Consider the following 18,857-nt stretch of genomic DNA (forward strand, 5'->3'; position numbering starts at 1 on the left):
AGCCTGGGTGACAGAGCAAGACTCCCTCTCAAAAAAAAAAAAAAAAAAAAAAAAGAAAGGAAAGTAGTATACGGACAGTCCCTGACTTGATGGTTCTACTTATGGTATTTTCAACTCATGATGGGTTTAATCAGATGCGACCCCCTTGTAAGTCAAGGAGCATCTGTATAGCAAATTTGAAAGATACGGAAAAGTAGAAGGCAGAACCCTGTAGATTTCCATCCTTAAAACAATTATTCTTAGCATTTTGATGTTTATTTCCAGATTTTGCTATGAAAAATTTTTTTACATTGCTTAAATAAGTACTTAAAAAGAAAAACACATCATGTACATTTTATGTGATTATAAACTTTCATAATCTTTTTATAATATATTAAATGGTAGAATATTAATTTTACTTTGTATCGATGTTTGAGTAGTTTCTAGTTTTTTAAAATATAATTTCAACTTTTATTTTAGATTCAGGGGGTACATATGCAGGTTCATTACCTGGGTATATTGCATGATGCTGAGGTGTTGGATACAAATGATCCTGTCACCCAGGTACTGAGCATAATACTCAATTGTTACTTTTTCAACGCTTTCCCCTTCCTGCCCCCCTCTAGTAGTCCCTAGTGTCTATTGTTGCCATCTTTATGTCCATGAGTACCCAGTGTTTAATTCCCACTATAAGTGAGAACATGCGGTATTTGACTTTCTGTTCCTGCTTTAATTTGCAAAGTGTAATGGCTTCCAGCTGCACCCATGCTGCTGCAGAGGACATGATTTCCTCGTTTTTTTATGGATGCATAGTATTCCACGCTGTACATGTACCACAATGTCTTTATCCACTTCACCATTGATAGACACCTCGGTTGATTCCATGTGTTTGCTATTGTGAATAGTGCTGCAACGAACATATGAGTGCATGCGTGTTTTTGGGAGAGTGAATAATTTTGGATATATACCCAGAGTGAGAATGTGGGACAGAATGGTGGGTCTGTTTTAAGTTCTTTGAGAAATCCCCAAATTGCTTTCCACAGTGGCTGAAGTAATTTACATTCCTCACAGCAGTGTATAAGCATTCACTTTTTTCTGTGGCCTCACCAGCACCTGTTGTTTTTTGACTTCTTAGTAGCCATTCTGACGGGTGTGAGATGGTATCTCACTGTGGCTTTAATTTGCATTTCTCTGATGATTAGTAATGCTGAGCATTTTTTCATGTTTGGCAGCTTGTATGTCTTCTTATGAGAAATATCTGTTAATTTTACTTTTTGTTGACATTTGAGCAGTTGCTAATTAAAACATTTTAAAAAATATTTTGCTTACTGTGTTTGTTCGTAATTGTACTTGCTTATAAACTGTCCTATTACAAACTGCAGAAAGCTTTTTTCTAAGTGTTTATTTTCTTACTGCCCTTGGTCTACTACTTTTCTTTTTTTTTCAGTTTCCTTAGATAAGTTATCCCCTCGTGTAGTTAACTATTTTAGCACTAACTTAATTCTTTGAATTTTAAGCCAGTGAAACCAACTGATTGCTAAACATCCTCAAGGTAAAATCTTACGAACTGAACTATCGTCTTCTGTCACCAAGCTGCTTTTCCTCTGATATCCCCATTATTAATTAGTAGCACCAGGACACCCAAGCTAGAAACAGAACAGCTATTCTATGCTTCTCTCTTCATTTTCTCCATAGCTAGTCTACTAATATGTGGATGAAGTGGAAATATATGCTGGGCAAAGAAATCCTAGAATTCTCACTGTTCACTATGCTTCCCCCCAATAGACTTTAAGAACCTTCAGATCATCAGCTGTACTTTGAAGTACATTTTTAATTATATTAGTAATACATGTTCACAATCTGAGTCAAAATTAAAATATTCTCGTTGAGGTTAAATGTCCCATTCCAAAACAAAAACAGATATGCAATTCCACATAAAATTTTCTATCTATTGACTTACTTTATATCAATGTAGATTCTTGTTTTCTTACTGAATCCAATTCAGTCTGTTACTATCAATATTTATTTTGATGCCCAAATTGTCATAGATTTAGCTAGTTACTTCAATTTGACTTCTGTGTTCTTTGGATATATCTCTGTTATTTCTTACTTTCTGATACAAAAAGATGTTTCAGGCTCATCGTATACTTTTGCTGCATCAGTCCTGGGTCCAGCCATTTCTCTTAGTACCCCTTGTTCCTTTATTGGAGAATGGTATTTAGAAGTCAAGGTCGGAGTGCTACTTGTGTTCATTATTATTAATCTTAGGTGGTGTTGGTTTTAGGCCCTCTCGATGGACAGAGCTAGTATACATACATGTTCACACATTTAAATCTCAACCTATTTCTCTACATATCTATGTATCTTGAAAATCATGAGTTTACATCAGTACCTCTAGTTGTAATTTAACACTACAGGGTTTATTCTAGTTTTCTTCCTTTCCACATTGGTGACTTCTTTCTCCAACAATGAGAAATCTGGTTCCCATTAGCCTAAACATATTTGCTTATTTAGTCAGTCCTCCTGTCTGTAAGCAATCTCTCATCACCACCATGGCCCTTCAGGTATGGCTGTCCTCTTCCACCCACTTGGGCTTAGACCTCTATGTGCCCAGCAGCTGTGTTATGTAGGCACCCTCCTCAACTCACTGGATATCCAAAACCTGGAACCAGGCAACCTTTCTATGATAAATGCCTATTCACCCTGCTTCAGCTCTTACACTCTGCTCTGGGACACTGTAACAGCTCCTAACTGCTCCCTTCCTCCTCTTTAGGTTTGGATACCTATTTTGCTTGACTTAACTAATGATTATAAGATTGAATTAGGAAGGGAAGAGGAAGAGACATACTGTATTCCCTCCCAGCACCCCACCCCTTATTTTATTGAGGAGTAATTGACATGCAAAAAATGCATGCATTTAAAGTGTACAATTTGAGGAGTTTTGATATACATGAATATGTACATGTTAAATCATTACACTCAAGATAGCAAACACATCCTTATTCCCCCATTCAGTTTGAGGTTTTTTTTTGAATTAAACTTTTTATTTTGAGATAAATATACATTCATGTGTGGTTGTAAGAAATAATAGAGAGATCTCATGTACACTTAACCCATTTTCCTCCAGTGGTAACATCTTACAAAATTGTAGTATGATATCACAACCATTGACATTGACATTGAAATAGCCAAGACACAGAACATTTCTCTCACCATGAGAACCCCTCATGTTGCCATTTTATAGACATACCCACTTCCTACCTCCCTCCACTCCATCTAATCTGTTTTCCAATGTTACATTTTTGCCATTTCAGTAATATTATATATATATATATATATGTACACATGGAATATATATATATATATATATATATATATATATATATATATATATATATATATATGGAATCATATAGTACATAATTTTGGGGGAATTTTTTCCCCCTCAGCTTAATTCTTTTGAGTGTCATTTAAGCTGTTGGATTTATCAGTAGTTTATTATTTTTATTCCATGGCATGGGTGTACTGCAATTTGCTTTACCACTCATTAAATGACAATTGGGTTGTTTCCAGTGTTGAGCTGTTATGAATAAAGCTTTCATAAACATTTCTGTACAGTTTTCATGTGAACATAAATCTTCATTTCTTTATGATAAATGACCAGGAGTATGATTGCTGAGTTGTATGATAGTTGCATGTTTAGTTTTTTATGAAGCTGTCAAGCTGTAGCCGTACCGTTTTACATTTCCGTCAGCAGTGTATGAGTGATCCAGTTTCACCTCATCTTTGTCAGCATTTGGTGTTGTCACTATTTTTTAGAAACAAAATGCGCTGCTCTGACAAGTGTGTAGTGATATCTCACTGTGGTTTTAATTTGCATTTTCTGAGTGGCTAATGATGGTGAACCTTTTTCATGTGCTTATTTTCCATCTGTATATCTTCTCTGGTAAAATGTCTCTTCAAGGCTTTTGTCCATGTTCTAGTAGGATTGTTTGCTTTTTTTATTGTTGAGTTGTCAGAGTTCTTAACATATTCTAGATACGACGCCTGTGTTGGATAGATGATTTGTTAAGAGTTTCTCCCAGTCTGTAGCTTCTTTTCATCTTCTCAATAGAGTATTTTACAGAGCAATAGTTTTAAACTTTGATGAAATTCAACTTAGCCATTTTTTCCTTTTATGAATTGTGCTTTTGTTGTCATGTCTAAGACTCTGCCTGGCCTTTGACCCTGAAGACTTTCTCTTTTTTTTCCCTGAAAGTTTTATAGTTTAGTATTTACATCCAAGTCTGTGATTCATTTTGAATTAATTTTTGTGTAAGGTGTGAGACTTAGGCAGAGGATTTTTTTTTGCCTCTATGGATATCCATATGCTCAACACTACTGAATTGAATTGAATATGTTTACTCCATTGAATTGTTTTTTGTACTTTGTCAAAAATTCATCGAGCATATTTGTGTGGGTCTATTTCTGGGTTTTCTGTTCTGTTTCACTGGTCTGTGTATCTCTCTGTTAACACTACAGAGTCTTGATTCCTGTAGTTACATAGCAAGTCTTAAAATTAGATAGACTGATTTTTTCTAATTTATTCTTCTTTTCCAAAATTGAGCTGTTCCTGTTCCTTGCCCTTTCTATATAATTTGTAGAATAATCTTGTGTATAAAAATATGCTGAGATTTTGATAGCAACTGTATTAAACATTTGTATAATTAGGGGAGAACTGACATCTTTATATATTAAATCTTCCAACCCATGAACATGCTATACTAAAGCTTTCCATTTATTTAGGTCTTCTGCATTTCATTCATTGGTACTGTGTAGTTTTTAGCATACAAGTCTTGTACATGTTTTATTAGATTTACACTTAAGTATTTTTTTTAGTTATTCCATATGATACTGCACTTTTAAATTTCTTGCCTATGTACTGATTGATAATATATAGAAACAATAGGATTTCGTCTTTATTTTGTATCCTTTGACTTTGCTGAACTAATGTATAACTTCTAGGAGTGTTTTTGCAGATCCCTTGATATGTAAAAGGGAGGTGATCCACCCACCCTGGCCTCCCAAAGTGCTGGGATAAAACTACTGTTTTAAAATACAATTATAAAGGATTTTGCCTCAGAACCTGTTCTGCTTCAGGCTTTTGGGGATCCTGAAAACAGCTGCCTCCAAGTGGCTTATCCCAAGGACAGTGGTCACGATATGAGGGCGAGAGCATTGAGGAGCCTTCCTAGGCAATTGGGAAGATATGAAAGTCCTAAACTAGTAGTTTATCTATACTGAGCATCCTCAAGTGGTAGCATATTACTCTAAGAGCTTTTGGAAAAGACTTCTCCTTGGAGATAATAAAACCAAGTGCAATGTGAAATCTAAGACCAGACTTCTGGGTGACGGTGTAGGTAAATTGGGAAGATGTCATGGGTCCAGGGGTGAGACAGTCTTATCCTACCAGAAGCCACCTCTGCCACCTCCCACAGGCTGCTTAAAATGCTTTGGTAAGAGCTTATTACAAGGCTTGGTGGTAGAATGTGTGAAATGTTTTCCTGGGAGGGATGACATTTTAAACTTTTATTTTATACGTTACTGGTAGTCATAAGTAATATAGTTCTTAAAAGCAGATTTTAAGAGGGGGATAGGAAAAAAAAAACCTATGAAGACACTGATGCTACGAGTGGAAAGTAAAAGTTATCTAAGAGGTGATAGAGTACCAAAAATAGCTTTTCGTTACTTCCCAAATTTGCCAGCTTTTAATGGACAAAGTGAATATTCTTAAATGTATGACTACTTTAATTTGAATATTACAGCATACTTTTTACTTTAAGAAATTACATATTGCAGGGCATGGAGGCTCACGCCTGTAATCCCAGGATTTTGGAAGGCCAAGGCGGGCGGATCACGAGGTCAGGAGATTGAGACCATCCTGGCTAACACGGTGAAACCCCATCTGTACTAAAAATACAAAAAATTAGCCGGGCATGGTGGCGGGCGCCTGTAGCCCCAGTGACTCAGGAAGCTGAGGCAGGAGAATGGTGTGAACTCGGGAGGCGGAGCTTGCAGTAAGCCGAGATCGTGCCACTGCACTCCAGCCTGGGCGACAGAACGAGACTACGTCTCAAAAAAAAAAAAAAAAAAAAAGAAAAGAAATTACATATTAATATTGTGTAAAGTAGAAGCATTATGAATGTAGAGAATTTATTCATTAGGGCTCTAATATTTACTACTGTCTGATCTAGAGAAGTCACTTACCCTCTCTGGGCTTCGGTTTCATTCACTGATAAAATAGGCACAATATTCAGAGTAAGATCAAAGTGCCTGTTACAATAAAAACAAATATTAACAATAAAAAAAATAGGTATAATACCTGACCTGCTGACCTTGTAAGTTGTGAAAATGCACTGAGATGGCTGGAAGTAGAATTCTTCATAAAGTAGACAAATTTATTATTTATAGTTGGTGCTAGTGCAGAAAGGATAAGTGGTGTGAAGCACTGTCACTCAATGTCAATGGAATTTACTGTTGGTGGTACAGGAAAAGAAAATAAATATATCTCTAGTCTCTTGTTCCTTTACATTTTGAAGGCGCTTCTACCAGGTTCAGAAAAGGAATCTTATTAGCATTTGGGGAAAAGCCTTTTTACTGAAACTTCTGGTAGGTTTCAACTGTAGGCATACATATGTTTGTAAAGATATCTAGCCAATGAATGACAGTTTAAAAGAGAGAAGCTGTTCTTTGACCATCTCCTCAAAGAATCATTAATCCATATTAGAAAATTGGAGAGAGTGCACATGCAGGGATTTTTTGCTAAAGAGCATGATGTGTCTGAGGAGTTATGACTCACAGTATCTCTGTTCCAGAGATCACTTGGCGATTGTAAATGCTGGAGGCGGGGGAACCTCTCCTCTGCATTTGTATACCTCTTGAGCTGTGTAGAATTAATCGCTCCAACTGCACCAGGAGGTAAATGGCAGAGCCCGTGGCTTACAGATGCTTGTGTCTCCTAGTTTCCAGCAGTAAGTATTTATTAGATGAAAACTCGGCCGAGACTGCATATTAAAGAGAAGAGGAAGGGGCATCTCTTGGCAGATTTTATCCTCAAGGCAGGTTACCTGCTCCTGCATAATTGAAAAGAGACCTGGCCTGGCTTGGAGGCTGTCTTAGCCCTTCAAAAGAGATCAACAAACAGTGGTGGCCAATGGGTGTCAAATAAAGAGCTTTATAGTGTTAAAAGAAACTTCAGACAAATTAAATTTAAAGGAGTTTGAGCAATGAATGACTTGTGAATTGGGCAGACCCCAGAATCAGAGCAGATTCACAGAGACTCCACGGATGCCTCGTGGTTAGAACAAATTTATAGACAAAAAAGGTAAAGTGATGTATAGGAATTGGAAGTGAGGTACAGAAAGAGTGAGATTGGTTACAGCTTGGCGTTTGCCTTATTTGAACACAGTTTGAACATTCAGCAGTCTGTGAGTGGTTGAATTATGGCCGCTGGGATTGGCCAACACTCAGCTGTTGTTACAGGTGCATACTATTGAGTTAGGTTTTCAATTTGTCTGACTATTAAGCTAGGTTACAGTTCATCCCCAAGGACTCAAATATAGAAGTATGGAGTCCTTCTCAAGCCATACTTACTTTGCTTTAACAATAGTTTAAGAAAGACATAAGAAATTAAAAGACAGTTTAGAGGACAGCTGTCATGATAAAGAGTTTAGAAAAGAATGTGTAGGAAGGTGGGTTAGGGGTGGGGGATATTGGAATTATTTAAACTGACAAGAGTCACCCGAATAAAGTGTGACAGGCAGTTGGTATTTGGACATTTGCAGAAGTGATTATGTAGAATATAGAGCAGATGTTCTCAAGTTTTTTTGGATGCCAAGGCACTCGGGAAAAGATCACATTTACATGACCCACAGTGTAGTCAGGTGAGGTTGCTTAAGACTACATTCTGCTCTAAGGCTTTGACACACCTAAGTCTCACTCTGCTACCAAACACTGATGGGATCAGTAGTATCATCCACAATACCAGCAGGATGACTTAATAGTAGAAAGGAGAGCCTCATTGCTCTTATCAGTTTGCAAACCAGGAAGGGACAGCATCCAGTGTGGAATGAAGGTGCTCTCTGTTGGAATAGGGGAAGGACAGGTTGTGTTTTACATTCATATTCATACATACTCAACAAGTTTTGGGGAGAAGCTATACATACTTCTGTGGGAGCTGAGCACACCACAATGAGTAAATATATGTATCATACATCCCATGTTCACTTTGGAATGGGGTTTTAGCACTAAAATGAGGTAGAATTTGGTCCTTTACATCATAAGGTAAACTATGGGACACAAAGGTGGTTTGTATGCAGCCTCTATATGCTGGCAGATACTGGCAATCTGTAATATTAGTAGCTTATCAGAAAAGAATGTTTGTAAGGCCGGTCCTCTGTCCGATCAGAGCTGATAGCTCGTTTGGTTAGAGGCAGTCTATTTATAGAAAGTTAGAAATTTGCCATGCCATCCAGGCCCTGAACCCTTGACCCATAGGTAACTTTGTTTCCTTACCCTTAGGGCCTGTCTTAGTTGATAAAGGGGCATCTATTTTGGTCTTTTAGGTCATAATAGCTTAGCGCACTGTAACCTATCCCTGCTTTAAGGGAGTTGCATACTTGTTACCAAATTGATGTGGAGGGCTGGGACTGTCTGTATTTGAGGGAGAGTTAGAAATGTGGGGTCATAATGACAAATAAGATTGAAATAAAAGGAGGAACTAATTGATTCTGGATTTGAAAATACTGATAGATTTGTCACAGGATGGGTGTGTGGGTGTGTTTGTAAAGAAAAGAACTTTTATCTGAGGCATGTGAGTCCTCTTAAGTTATCAGGCCTAGAGAGACATTAAAATGAGACAGAAATCACAGCCCTATTTCCTCCTTGAGCTATGTATTCATCTCTTGAAACTGCTTGCTATTGCCACATGGAGCTATATAGTAACCCAATAATGCCACACCTGACAGGATAACCCACCCCATATAGCTTAACAATGTATAGCCAATCACTAATCAATGTCGCTTCTGTAAACCAATGAGAATTCCTGATTACAACTTTGTATCAGCCCACTCCTTGACCTCTTTTTTTGACTTTGAAAACCCACTCATAACTGCTGCTAATTGGAGTGTATATTCAGGGGGACTTGCATCTGTGTTCCCAGGTCGCAATCCTCAAGCTTGACCCAAATGAACTGTGTGTTTATAATAATTTGCCTCAACTTCTTCCTTTTAGGTCGATGTGTATGTGTGTTTGTGTAGAGAGTATGTTCCAAAAGTGCTTGAACAGTTTAAACCTCACTAACTTCAGAAAAGTAAGTTCTATAAATTAACCCCCAAGATCCCTTGAAGTTTTAATTATATATATTTATTGTACACTTATTTTTGTTTTATAGATGTTAAATAATGCATTATTAGTGAAACCATGCCCCAGAGAGTTGAAGAAAACAGTGACTAATGAAATAATCAGTTTACAGGATAGGCGATTAAAAAACAACAACAACAATAACTTACTAAAATGCCAAAACTCTCCCTGCTTCTGAGATTAAAAAACTGGCTAAAATGAATTAAAACTATTAAGGCCAACTGGAGTTGGCACAGAACAAGCTGGCTGGCGTCACAGCCCAAATTTCTGCCACGTTTCAACCAACTCCCCACAAATGTGCACATGGAATACATGAGGCAGCGTTAAACAGAACTGTGCATGCGGAGGACTTACAGACCTCCGCTTTCCTTCCACCAATCAACTATTAATTCCAGAGGCCACTCCCTAAACTTTTTCTAATAAAATGACCCCATGAAAGCCAGCACAGGGGACAGGTTTGATCTGGACTCCTGTCTTATTGTTCGTTAATTTACAATAAAAACCTTCTTTTCTCAAAAACCCAAATTGGGCAGTGAGCTTCTTTTCCTTGATAACATTAGTTTTAATCATTTGAGACAGTCACTCTGATTGGAAATAGTAAAAACTGACTTCAAAACAAAAAATGTAATGTTCAACATTCACAAAACGAAGCAAGTATAAAGGAAATTTAAGTTTTATATCTGCATTTATGTAAGGCAGAAACGTTCTGTAGGTAAGATGGATTTGAGGACATATGTGATCCTGAGAGTGGCAATGCCTGGGTACAACAAATATTCCAGGCAGTATTTCAGGCTTTCAAGGCAGTGTGGTTGGTGGGGTCCAAGTTAAGAGCTCCAAACAGTAAAGCGGGACTTGGGTAATGCCTGGTTTACTGTTGGAACAAACCAAAAATTCCACTAAGATAAATATATGACATGAAAAGGGATGGAGTTGGGAAATGGAGTGGCAAGGTAGGGCAGAGGGACCTAGAGGGCCCAGGAGAGTCAGCTGGGCTGGTGGGGTTGGGGCTGTGGACACACCCTCCTCTTGTTGCTCCCTGCACCCTTAGAAACCTTCTGTGACTCTTCCATGCTCTGTGATGCAGGCCTGTGCTTATAGTTAAGCCTGGGCACCCTCAGTGCTCAGTTGCTTCAGGCAGCTGAGCTATTCAGACCATGGAGAATATCCTCTGTTTTCTGAACAGCTATACTGAGACAGGGCTGAGCCCTGACTCACATTGGTTGGATATCGACCCCAACTTCATCTGCTTGAGTGGGTTGGGGTTGTTTATACTGTACTTGTTCTACGTGGTATTGACCCTGTATTCGTCACCCACCGAAAAAAATAATGACATCCAAAAGGTAAGGAACTGTGGGTGAACACCCAAGAGAGATGCCCTGTTGTTGTTTCCCAATCCTATTCCAACATTTCTAAATAAGTTTGGTTGGTACAGAGACATGTTTTAGATGGGAAGTCTGAAGAGAGGATAGAACTTCACTCTTCTATGGAAGAGGTTGGGCAGACATAGGGGTTCAGGAGGACTAAGGTTTCCATCTGAAGCTCATAGTTTTCCATGTGAAGCTACCTATCTGGCTGTGGTGGAGAGTTCCAGGATAAAATCCCAAACACAGTAATTCTGTGGTCCCAGGTGGGATTATTTAGAGATTGTGGGCTCTCTGAAGGAGAACGGTCTCTGCTGAAATTTGATCATGAGTCAGATTCCCATGTCACCTGTCACTTGACCAAGTCTTCCTTCGTGTTGGGCTGACCAGAGGAGTAATGCTGAGAGTCTCTGAGCAGAGGCTGGAGCTATAGGCCTGTCTCCGTGACACTTGTCCCATGAGGGAGCACAGATGTGACTGTTGACCTCTGAGTCTTTGCCCTCCTTCAGAATTGCTAACTGAGTACATCAAGTGTGGCTCTCACAGCAAAATCTTCTTTGAGGATTTTTCAGAGAAGGAAAAATGGGAGCTATTTTATCACCATTAAAAATTGATAACAGGAACATATTTCTATTAATTAAAGAGTAATATTCTTGTATAATGAATGAATGAATGAATGAATGAATGAATGAGCTTCATAGAGAGTGAGAGAAGTGAGTCCCAGCCTGTCATTATCTGTCTTTTGTTCTCAGCATCAGGGCAGAGCCAAGAGGAGAAGGAAAGGTGGGACATTCAAAGGTAATGTCAGCCTGCTCTATCTGAGCTTCAGGGGTGACCCTTTCTGTCTCTTTCATGATGACTCAGTCCCATGATTTCTTAGAATGTCAGTTACTAGATGCAGTCTTAGAAAACAGAGCCCTCAGAAGACAGGCTCATGGGAAAGCAATCAGACCTGAGACACTGCTCAGAGGCCCTGCTCTGCCCATTTACGGGCAGGACAAAGTGATGGACCTGAGCAATGGGTGTTGCCCAATTGGTGGCCAACTGAGATATCCAGGAGGGACTGCTGGTGGGCTTGGAGTCAGAGCTTCTGTCTCACAACTTTGCATACGTACTTTGACTTCCTCAATGCTCGGATTCCTCCTGGAGGTAACCACTGATGTCTGTGTTTCACGTGGTGGTTTTGAGCATCACATGGGGTAATGTATGTGAAAGGACTTTACTAATGATGCCACATACACATGTGAACTTGTGAATATTATCAATGACTATTTTCCCTTTTCTACTGATTCTTGGGGCTCTCAGAGTTTAATATCCCAAGGGTCTTCCACAGATTGACTTCTGTATGAGCCGTGTGCCTCTATCTTCATTGCATATAACATACTATTCAGGTTTCCCAGACTGGAAAAGTTTCCAGAGAGAAGAGGAAGAGGAAAGGAAGCTGCTTTCTCTTCTGAAAAGGTGATTAATCTTTCCCTTTGTGTCCTGTTCCCACCCCACTCCTTCTTCTTTAGTACGTTCTATTCATTTCAGGGATTCCTTGTAGCCTGCTGTAGTTTTGGGAGTGGGTAGCCATAGGAATGGGTATGTGAATGAATGTGTTGGGGAGAGGCTATAGTGAGGTCATAGGACCTCATATACGGTGAGGTCCTGGGTTGGGGGCAATGTGATATGGGCAGCAGGCTTTAGGGAACCCACCCCTGCCAGGCTAACAAATCTCCTTTCCTTGTTCTGGTCCTGACTGCAGCTTTGGACCTCCTGTTTCCTGCAGTCCTCGGGGCCAGCATCATGATACCAACCACTTTCGTCGACTGTTATGCCCAGACCCCGTCTGTCGGGTGTGTAAGAGAGCAACTGCTGATATCCAGCAACTGCTGTCTTGGGAGTCCCTGAAAGATGCTGCTCCCTCTGTGTCCCCTTTGGCTTCTTCGGCTTCTGCGACTGAGTCATCGTTCACTCTGGCTTCCACCCCCTCAGCAACCCCTCCAGAAGACCTAATACTGTCCCCTCGGCCTAAGGCCTCTCCACCACCCCCCTTAATTCTCTCACCTGACCTGATCACCACCTTAGCTGACTTATTTTCACCCTCACCACTGAGGGACCCTCTGCCACCACAGCCTGTTTCTCCCTTGGATTCCAAGTTCCCCATAGACCATTCCCCACCCCAACAGCTTCCCTTTCCCCTTCTCCCACCACATCACATTGAGAGAGTGGAGTCCAGCCTCCAACCTGAAGCCAGTTTGTCTCTGAACACCATCTTTTCATTTGGCTCCACCCTATGCCAAGATATTTCGCAGGCCATGAATCCCATTGATTCTTGTGCTCGTCATCACGGACCACCAATCCCATCTGCTTTACCACCGGAAGATTGCACTGTGACTCAGTCTAAATCAAGTCTCACCATCTTGAAGACTTTTCCGGAAATGTTATCTCTAGGTGGCTCTGGTGGGTCATCCACCTCTGCCCCAACAATCAAAGGCATTGACCATTCACACCTTGCATCTTCAGAATTCACCTGGTGGCAGCCTCATGCCAAGGACTCTTTTTCCTCTAATTTTGTGCCATCTGATTTCATGGAGGAGCTTCTTACCCTTCATTCTTCTGAGGCCTTTTTAGGGGGGCACTCTGTGGCCAACCTCATAGAGCCTGTTAACATCTCATTTCTCAGCCATGACATTCTGGCACTCCTGGAGAGACAAGTCAAAAAAAGGGGTGATTTCCTGATGTGGAAAGAAAATGGAAAGAAACCAGGATCATTCCCAAAACAACTTAGGCCAAACTACCAACTAAATTCCTCACGGAATATGTTAACCTCAATTGCTGTTAAGCATGACTTGGCAGAATCCTTTCCTTTTTGGGCCAGTAAAGGCAAACTAGAATGGCAGCACATCCATCAGCAGCCTCCACACTCTAAATGCTTTGAAGACCATTTAGAGCAAAAATATGTCCAGCTCTTCTGGGGTCTCCCATCTTTGCACAGCGAGTCTCTGCATCCTACTGTTCTTGTCCAACGTGGCCATTCCTCCATGTTTGTATTCTTCAATGGCATTACAAATACATCTATATCCCATGAATCCCCAGTACTTCCCCCTCCCCAACCTCTGTCCTTGCCTAGTACCCAACCACTACCCTTGCCTCAAACCCTGCCCCAAGGTCAGTCCCCACATCTCACTCAGGTGAAGTCCCTGGCTCAACCTCAATCTCCATTCCGAGCCCTACTACCTAGTCCTCTATTCCTGATTAGGATCTGTGGAGTGTGTTTTCATAGACCCCAGAACGAGGCACGGTCTCTTTTGCCATCTGAAATTAACCATCTGGAGTGGAACGTGTTGCAGAAAGTGCAGGAAAGTTTGTGGGGCTTACCCTCTGTGGTTCAAAAATCCCAGGAAGACTTTTGTCCTCCAGCTCCCAATCCTGAATTGGTCAGAAAGTCCTTCAAGGTCCATGTTCCGATCTCCATCATTCCTGGAGATTTTCCACTCAGCTCTGAGGTAAGGAAGAAACTAGAGCAACACATTCGAAGGAGGCTCATCCAGCGCAGATGGGGCCTGCCCCGCAGAATCCATGAGTCTCTGTCATTGCTACGTCCTCAGAGCAAAATTTCAGAGCTATCTGTGTCAGAGAGAATTCATGGACCGTTAAATATCTCTTTGGTTGAGGGTCAGAGGTGCAATGTTCTAAAGAAGTCCGCATCAAGCTTCCCTAGAAGCTTCCACGAGAGGAGCTCAAATATGCTTTCCATGGAGAATGTGGGGAATTATCAGGGATACAGCCAGGAGACTGTCCCAAAAGATCACCTGTTGCATGGTCCGGAGACTTCTTCAGACAAGGATCTGAGGTCTAACTCTGAGAGAGACCTAGAAACTCATATGATGCATCTGTCAGGGAATGACTCAGGGGTGAGACTAGGTCAGAAACAACTTGAAAATGCCCTGACAGTACGTTTGAGCAAGAAATTTGAGGAAATCAATGAGGGTCGAATGCCTGGGACTGTGCATAGTTCATGGCACTCAGTCAAGCAGACAATGTCTCTTCCTGAGAAATCCCACAGCCAAATTAAACATCGAAATCTGGTAACATTGGTGAGTGAGGACCACTGCGTTGATACTTCCCAGGAAATTTCCTTCCTTAGTTCCAACAAACAAAAGATGTTGGAAGCCCATATTAAAACTTTCCGTATGAGGATGCTGTGGGGCCTTCCCCTCAAGGTCCTTGAATCCATAGAAATCTTCAAATCGAAAGCGGACCTTTCCACTTCCTTTTCCCATTTCGACCTTCCCTCCTCAGCCACCTTCATCTCTCAGGGAGATTCCAAAGATGGGGTCTCTAAGTCCCGTAGTCGAAGCACTTTTCAAGGAGAAAAGTTGGGAACAACAAGCTCAGTCCCCATCCTTGATCGTCCTCACCCTGTCTCCTCACCTGTCGTCCAAGAAGGGCAGGGGACCCTGAGAAGACAATTTTCTGATACTGACCATGACCTTATAGAGACAGATTCCAAAGACGGGGCCTCCACATCCCTTAGAAGAGGTACTACAGATTTTCAAAGCGAAAAATTAGATTCAACAAGCTCATTCCCCATCCTCGGTCATTCTTACCTTGTCACTTCACCTGTCAACCAAGAAAAGCAGGGGACCCTGAGAAGAGAATTCTCTGATACTGACAATGATCTTACAGAAAGTGTCCGGACAACAGAGGATGGCAGACAGACTTTTCTGCCCCCGCCACACAGCATCGTAGACGAAGTCAGTCAGAAACAGACTGTACTGGCCAGTAGATGCAGCGCAGAGCTGCCCATAATGCAAGCTGGAGCTGGCTGTGAGTCATGGGATAAGAGAAAGAGTTCCTTTCATAATGTAGACAGGCTTCAGGGCAGTAGAAAGACCTTTCCTGTCACCAATGCTCTTCAATCACAAACTAGGAACAACTTGACAACCAGCAAGTCAGGAAGCTGCTCACTGACAAATGTGAAAGCAAGCACTTCCAATGAAACTGAAATTTTCCCACCAAGAATATCAGTTCCTCAAGATCCTAAATCATCATACCTTAAAAATCAGATGTTGAGCCAGTTAAAGTTGGTCCAGAGGAAGCATAGCCAACCTCAGAGCCATTTCACTGACATGTCTTTTGCCTTAGATAACTTGAGTTCCAAGGACTTACTGACTAATTCCCAGGGCATCTCGAGTGGGGACATGGGAACTTCCCAGGTGGTGCATGTCCACTTGGAGGACAGCGGAATCCGTGTGGCACAGAAGCAGGAGCCCAGGGTCCCTACCTGTGTCTTACAGAAGTGTCAAGTTACGAATTTCCCACCAGCTGTAAACAGAGTGAGTCCTGTGAGACCCAAAGGAGGAGAGCTTGATGGAGGGGATGCAGGGCTGGGGACATCCCAACGCAGGAGAAAGAGCCTCCCTGTTCATAACAAGACATCAGGGGAGGTGCTTGGGAGCAAATCTTCCCCAACCTTGAAAACACAGCCTCCTCCTGAAAACCTTTTCAGAAAATGGATGAAGACCTCTTTGCAGTGGTTTAATAAACCCAGCATATCATATGAAGAACAAGAAAGTTCCTGGGAAAAGGGTAGCTCCCTGTCATCATGTGTGCAGAATATTGGTCGAGTTATAAGAGCTGCCTTTACTGGGACTACTGAAGCTCAGAAAATTAGGAAAGACACTAGGGAGTTCCTAGAAGAGAAGCTGGGGCATAGGCATGGGATAGATATCACCTGTCCCCAAGAGCCCCTTTCCTTCCCAGTGGGGCTTGGGAAAGCTCAGCACAACCCAGAAGTGCATGTCAGAGCAGAGCCTGTCCAGGGCTGTCCCTGCAACTACAGGGCTCCCTCCTGCAAAGTGACACGTACCAAATCTTGCAGCCAACAAGCTATCTTTGTTGGCCAGAATTATCCTACAAGGATTAGACAGATCATAGACAAGGACAGACAGCCCCAGAAAGTTGAGGCATTTAAGGGGAAGATACTGTGTCAAAGCCATCCCCAATCCATGCCCCACAGGAAGCCTGTGCCACATCCAAACCCCACTTGCCGGCGTCAGGTCAGCCTGGTGTGTCCAGCCGTCCCAACCAGTGCTAAAAGCCCTGTGTTTAGTGATGTGCCTTTCCTAACTGGACAGAAAATGCTTCCAAAGCATTTACAGGGAGGAAAATTTCCCCCCACAAAATAATTCACTCCTTGTTGAGAATCTTGATTCTCCCCAATAAATGTTCCAATAAGAAGGATGTCTTTTCTGTGTATTGTGTTGTGGGGTATGGGTTTTGGGTAACCGAAGCTAGTGGTTAGGGAAAGGTGGGGTTAGCTCAGCTCTTACTGACTCCCTGCTTTGACTTTTAAAATGTGCCGAACCCCCTGGAGCTGTTGTGGTGGAATGAGTATCATGTGCCTCCAAAAGCCCCTTCTCTCCCTGATGAGGTCCGAGGAGATGAGGTCTTTCCTACCTCTTTGCTTGAGACTTACTGATATTGTATGGCGGCCTTCACCTTCCTCCCCATTCACTGCTTCATATCCTTTAGAGCAGTGAGGAAGGCAGCCCTTCCATATCTGAAGACAGGGTGAAGGACAGGTATATTTTTCAGAAATAGTGGTTTAAGCACTGTTTAAAAAAAGTTGTCACAGACCACAGTATCTTATAGGTTGGTGGGAGTGTTTGGGATATTGCTGGTTGGGGTAGAGTGTCAGGAACACTGTGGATGCTGCTTAAGAATTTGACAAGCAGGGCATGCTCATGATTTAGGGAGGCATATTTTGACCTCAACGTTGAGGTCTTTCTACTAATAAGTCACTCTGGAGATGTAGTTCCCCTCCCTGTGTATTTCTCCATGCTGCCTGGATTGATGACATTTTTACAGAGCAAAAATTCACCTAGCTGTCTGTGGCAGGACTGTTGACCAGGCAACCACCTACCTCCTAGGGTAAAATATAGCTTAGAGTAAGGAAAAGATGCCTTAGAATGATGAGAAAGTAAGAAAAAAGTGAAGCTAGGAAAGAATGACCATGCTGGTGGAAAAAGGTTTATGCCCCATCATGCCCATTTCATGACCCTTTCTTAATCTAGATCTAGGCACCATCCCCTTGAGGCTTACCAGGATGCTGCAGAGGTTACAGATGCCATTTTGGCAGAAGTGTACCTCGGGCTGTTCTTTAAGGACTTAAACAGTATCTGCAGGGCTGTTGTCAACATGGCATCCCTCTCTTTAGGGAAGGTGATCTTTGTGCCTTCTTTCTAGCCATGTTGATGGCAATATGCAAGATCTTCCCTTAGTGTATACAGTGCACCTATCAGGATGGAGGTGTCACCCATGATGTTCATGGGCTTAGTGGAATATAATAGATATTGTCTAGAATACCTGCAGCTCATGGTCCAGAGGTTAGTCCTGGACTACGCATGAGGGTTACAGATATTTGGGGGCTTACTATGAATCTTTACAGAATGCTCCTTATTTCTAAGAGTGTGCACATATGCACACTTAAAATATTAGGGGCCTGAAGAGAAGGCAATTCCACTTATACAGACTGGGACTAATAAATGAAGTGAGTTTTCTAGAGGGCACTTGAGGTAAGTTCTCCAGAAAAATTTGTGAATGCTTGGTGTCAAAACAAAAACAAAACACAACAAAGCATAACAAAACAAAACAAAACAAAACAGATGTCCACTACAGCTTCTTCACTATCCTTCTCTTTTCCTGTCCATGCTTATGCCACTGACCCTGCAGTGCCTGAATCTTAGGATTGCAGAAATAATTCAGATTCTGTGAAGGCCTTAAGAAGCACAAAATTGGGATGAAACCCAGGGCAAAGAACTTGTGGATGTGGAGAATCCATGGAGGACCCAAACATCCATGTGGATAGACTTGCCAATTACCTGGCCTCCTAATTCCTCTGTCATTCCATCTTAGGGTCCTTTACCTCCATTCCATTTCAGTTACTGCCACACCCAGAAGCTGTCATCAGAAACATCTAAAAGTTATCATCAGAAACACCTCTTTTTTTGGAGGCAGAGTCTTGCTCAGTTGCCTGGCCTGGTGTGCAGTGGCACGTTCTTGGCTCACTGCAACCTCTGCCTACCAGGTTCAAGTGATTCTCCTGCCTCAGCCTCCTGCATAGGTGGG

General features: G+C 41.7%; 1 protein-coding gene and 1 long non-coding RNA gene across 3 annotated transcripts in view; both read left to right on the forward strand.

The window, feature by feature from the left end:
* LOC105376107 (uncharacterized) overlaps positions 1–18,857 on the forward strand; it is a 378,142-nt gene that overhangs the window by 1,042 nt on the left and 358,243 nt on the right. The window lies entirely within an intron of this gene.
* SPATA31D1 (SPATA31 subfamily D member 1) lies at positions 9,119–16,967 on the forward strand. 2 transcript variants are annotated; one of them, XM_017014710.3, is made up of 4 exons: positions 9,119–9,328; positions 11,492–11,537; positions 12,131–12,200; positions 12,487–16,967. In XM_017014710.3, the coding sequence occupies exons 1-4, from the start codon at positions 9,254–9,256 to the stop codon at positions 16,913–16,915; spliced, it is 4,620 nt and encodes a 1,539-aa protein (XP_016870199.1). In that variant the 5' UTR covers positions 9,119–9,253; the 3' UTR covers positions 16,916–16,967. The 2 variants fall into 2 exon arrangements, with proteins under 2 accessions (XP_016870199.1, NP_001001670.1); NM_001001670.3 differs by lacking the exon at positions 9,119–9,328 and adding an exon at positions 10,486–10,718.

Source organism: Homo sapiens, chromosome 9 (genome assembly GCF_000001405.40).
Source record: "Homo sapiens chromosome 9, GRCh38.p14 Primary Assembly".
In the NCBI taxonomy this organism is placed as follows: Eukaryota; Metazoa; Chordata; class Mammalia; order Primates; family Hominidae; genus Homo; species Homo sapiens.